General features: G+C 39.5%; 1 annotated feature.

Annotated features, from left to right (window-relative positions):
* Positions 234-734: an enhancer, noted in NCBI's record as "H3K27ac hESC enhancer chr13:56538365-56538865 (GRCh37/hg19 assembly coordinates)". NCBI's record gives its function as "activates a minimal SCP1, AML or CMV promoter by ChIP-STARR-seq in naive H9 embryonic stem cells {active_cell/tissue: H9 hESC(naive)}" and the evidence as "EXISTENCE:reporter gene assay evidence [ECO:0000049][PMID:30033119]".

The following is a 4,784-nucleotide window of genomic DNA, read 5'->3' as shown; positions in this document are numbered from 1 at the left end:
TTCTTTTCTTGTGAAATCATCTAATTTAAAAAATATTTTAATTTTGTTTTAGGTTCAGGGGTACATGTGCAGATTTCTTATATAGGTAAACTTCTGACTCAGGAGTTTGGTGTGCAGATTATATCATCACCCAGTTACTAAGCATAACACCCAGCAGTTTTTTTTTTGTTTCTGAACCTCTTTCTCCTCTCACCTATCATCCTCAAGTAGGCCCCAGTGTCCGTTGTTCCCGTCTGTCCATGTGTTCTCTTTATTTAGCTCCCACTTATAAGTGAGAACCTGTGGTATTAGGTTTCCTGCTTCTATGTTAGTTTGCTAAGGATGGTGGCCTCTAGTTCCATCCATTTTCCTGCAAAGGACCTTCCAGCTCTGAGATGCTCTCCTCAGCTTTGTCTATTCTGCTGTTAATACTTGAAAGTGTGTTATGAAATACTTGTACTGTGTTTGTCAGCTTTATGAGGTTAATTATGGAAAACAACCTGGGGGTCTGGTTGGGTGAGACTGCCATGTCTGTCCTCTGAGTGTTTCCAGGGAAAGAGTAGGCTGCACCCCTTGGCAAATTCAGGCACACATAAGACCACTGGGCTGGGAGCTCTAGCAGGTTTTGCCTGCCTGGCTATTAGGTCATACACCCTGCCATCCTGGTGTTTCCTGGGACAACAGGACTCTCTACCCTCCAGCTGGATTTGTGTAGAAGAAAAGCTGCTGGGCTAGAAGCTCCAGCAGGCATTGCCTGCCTGGATACCAGTGGTGGAGGTGGGTGTGGTCTCTTGCTCTGCTGTCTGGGTGTTTCCTGTGTCAACAGGAAGCTACACCCTCCTGCTGAGTTCACACAGAAGTTGGGCCATTGGGTCAGAGGCTCTAGCAGGCACCTACCACCTGACTGCCAGTGGCAGGGGTGAGTGGGGTCTCTTGCTCTGACATCAGGATATTTCCCATTACTACAGGAGACTGCGCCCTCCAGATGAGTTTTCACAAAAGTGGGACTGCTGGGCCAATAGCTCTAGGTAGAGTTTCCTGTTGGTTACCAGTGGCAGGGGTGGAAGGGATGGCAGGCCAGGTTTGGGCCAAAGCAAGATGGCTGGTCTGGAAGCTCGTGCAGAGCCCTGGCTAACAAGTGGTGGTGGAGCAATGTTAGTTTTCCCGAGTACTGCAACTGCAGCCTCTATTGGGGCTGTGACACCAGTGCTGGTCTGCTCTGGGACCCAAGCTTTGTGGAGGTCTGCTTGGACTCAGGATTTGCCCTGCAAAATGTCCAGGTGGCTCTCTGCCTCAGTCTAAAAGTGTGGTGGGGGGGCCGGGTTGATTCTCCCATTCTCTATAGAAAGCGTTAATCCCTGGGGGCTCTCACTCACTCACCCTTTCCCATGTTAGAGAGGTTTTTCTGGCTCTGTGCTGAGTACAGACAGGCTGGTGTCCAACTTTGCTCCTCTCTTCTCTGTGTTCCCTGGCTGCCTTGATGGATCCTAACATGGTTTCTCAGATCTTTCCTCTCTACAAGAGTGGTGTACATTAGCTGCCTCTAGTCTGCCATCTCCGGCCCCCTTCCATTGTCTGAATTTGGTATCAAAGTAAGACTGGCCTCACAGAATAAATGTAAAGCATTCTTATTTATTTATTTACTTATTTATTTATTTATTTACTTTGGTGGACGTGATGATTAATATTAAGTATCAACTTTATTGGATGGAAGAATGCAAAGTATTGTTTCTGGGTGTATCTGCCAGAAGAGATTAACATTTGAGTCAGTGGACTGGGAAAGGAAGACCGACCCTCAGGAAGACCCACTCACAGTGTGGTTGGGCACCGTCCAATTTGCCAGAGCAGCTAGGAAAAGCAGACAAAAGAAGGTGGAAGAATCTGACTTGCTGAGTCTTCCCACCTTCGTCTTTCTCCCATACTGATTCTTCCTGCCCACGAACATCAAACTTCAAGCTCTTTAGCTTTTGGACTGTTGGACTTACACCGGCGGTTTGCCAGGGGCTCTCAAGCCTTCCACCACAGACTGAAGGCTCTACTGTCGGCTTCCCTACTTTTGAGGTTTTGGGTCTCAGACTGAGCCACTACTGGCTTCCTTGCTCCTCAACTTGTAGTCAGCTTATCATGGGACTTCGCCTTGTGACCGTGTGAGTCAATTCTCCTTAATAAACTCCCTTTTACATATACATAGATCCCGTTAGTTCCATCCTTCTAGAGAACCCTAACACAGAGGACTTTAAATATTGGCGTTAATTCTTCTTCAAATGTTTGGTAGAATTATCCCTTGTCTTGGGCTTTTCTTTGATGAGAGGTTTTTGTTTTTACCGATTTAGTCTCATTATTATTTAGGTTTGTTCAATTTTTTTTTTATTTTTTCATGATTGAGGATTGATATGTTGTACGTTTCTATAAATTTATGCATTTCTTCTAGGTTATCAAATTTAGCATCTAATTGTCCCTAGCAGTCTCTTATAATGCTTTTTCTTTCTGTGAGATCTAGTGTAATGTTTGTTCTTTCCTATCTGGTTTTTGTTGTTTAAATTTTTTCTCCTTTTTTCCCTAGTCAATTTAGATAAGGATATTGTTAATTTTGTTGATCTTTTCAAAACCAAATTTATATTTCTGTTAATTTTTTATACTTGGTTTTCGTTTGCTTCATTATTTCCTAATTTGTATCACCCTCTTACTTCTGCTTACTTTGGTTTAGTCTATTCTTATTTTTCTAGCTCCTTGAATTATAAACATAGGTTTTTGACTTTAGTTCTTTCCACTTATTATTTTTTTCTTTCCAACTTTTAAGTTCAGGGGATACATGTGCAGGTTTGTTACATGAGTAAATTGCATGTTGCTGAGGTTTGGTGAACAATTGATCACATCACCTAGGTGATGAGCTTAGCACCTGATAGGTAGCTTTTTAAACTTCACCCCACCCTCCTTCTCTCCCTCTCTAATAGTCCCCAACGTCTATTGTCCTTATCTTTATGTTCAGGTGTACTCAATGTTTAGTTCCCACTTATAATGGATAACATGTGGTATTTGGTTTCCTGTTACTGCATTAATTTAGTTAGGATAGTGGCCTTAACCTTCATGTATGTGGCTGCAAAGAACATAATTTCATTCTTTTTTATGGCTGTGTAGTATTCCATGGTGTATATGAGCTATATTATCTTTATCTAGTCCACCATTGATGGACATCTAGGTTGATTTCATCTCTTAGCTATTGTAAATAGTGCTGCAATAAACATTTGAGTTCATTTGTCATTTTGGTAGAGCAATTTATTTTTCTTTGGGTATATACCCAGTAATGGGATTGCTGGGTCAAATAGTAGTTCTGTTATTAGTTCTTTGAGAAATCTCAAAACTGCTTTCCACAGTGGCTGAACTAATTTATATTCCCATCAACGGTGTATACACATTTCATATTCTTTGCAACCTCGCAAACATCTGTTGTGTTTTGGCATTTAATATTAATCATCTTGACTTGTATGAGATAGTATCTCAAACTATTCTAAAATTCATTTGGAAACCCACAAAAAAAGTGAAATAACCAAAACAATCATCTTAAGAAAAAAGAACAATGCCTGAGGCATTACCCTACCTGAATTCAAATTATACTGCAAGATTACAGTAACAAGAACAGCATAGTACTGGGTACAAAAATGAAAACATAAACTAATGAAACAGGGTAGAGGACCTGGAAATAAAGCCATACACCTACAATCATCTGATCTTTGGCAAAGCTGACAATAATTAATGGGGAAATGACTCTGTATTTAATAAATGATGCTGGAATAACTAGCTAGCTTTATGCAGAAGAATGAAACTGCACCCCATTTGTCACCATATACAAAAATTAATGCATGATGGATTAAAGGCTTAAATATAAGTTCTAAAACTATAAAAATTCTAGAAGAAAACCTAGGAAATACCACTCCAGACATGGGTCCTGGGAAATAACTTATGACTAAGTTCCCAAAAGCAATGGCAACCAAAACAAAATTGACCAGTGGGACCTAATTAAACTAAAGAGCTGCTGCACAGCAAAATAAACTATCAACAGAGTAAACAGACAACTGGGAAGAAATATTCACAAACTGTGCATATGAGGGAGGTCTAATATATATAATCTATAAGGAACTTAAAAAAATTCAACAAGCAAAAAACAAATAACGTCACTAAAAATGCGCAAAGGACGTAAGTAGACAATTCTGGAAATAAGACATACGTGTGTCCAGCAAGCGTATTAAAAAAATGCTCATCAAAACTACAATGGTATACCATCTCATACCAGCCTTATTTTTAAATATTGGCATTTATCACTACCAACTCCTCCATTAGTACTACTTTTGCTGCATCCCATAAGTGTGTTATATTTTTATTTTCAGTTCTCATCTGTTACTTCCCTTGTTATTTCTCCTATGTCCATTGTTTTTTCAATAATGTTTTGCTTAATTTTGACATATTTGTACATTTTAAAGTTTTCATTTTGCTATTGTTCTTCTAATTTGAGTTACTTATGGTCACAAAGTATACTTAAGATGATTTCAAACTTCTTAAATTTGTTAAGCTTTGTGATGTGGTTAACGTGTAATTTTTCTTCAGGATGTTTTATGAGCACTTTAGAATAATGTGTATTCGGCTGTAGTGGGGTAGAGTGTTCTGTATACGTCTATTGGGTCTGGTTGGTCTATAGCGTTGTTCAAGTCTTCTACTTAACTGATTTTTTTTTGGTCCAGTGAATCTATCCATTATAGAAAGTGTTGGAATTGTCTATTATTTCTGTGTTACCACTTATTTCTCCTTTC

This window comes from Homo sapiens, chromosome 13 (genome assembly GCF_000001405.40).
Source record: "Homo sapiens chromosome 13, GRCh38.p14 Primary Assembly".
Classification (NCBI taxonomy): domain Eukaryota; kingdom Metazoa; phylum Chordata; class Mammalia; order Primates; family Hominidae; genus Homo; species Homo sapiens.
The sequence above is the reverse complement of the archived record's forward strand: the minus strand, read 5'-3'. Positions and strand labels throughout refer to the sequence as shown.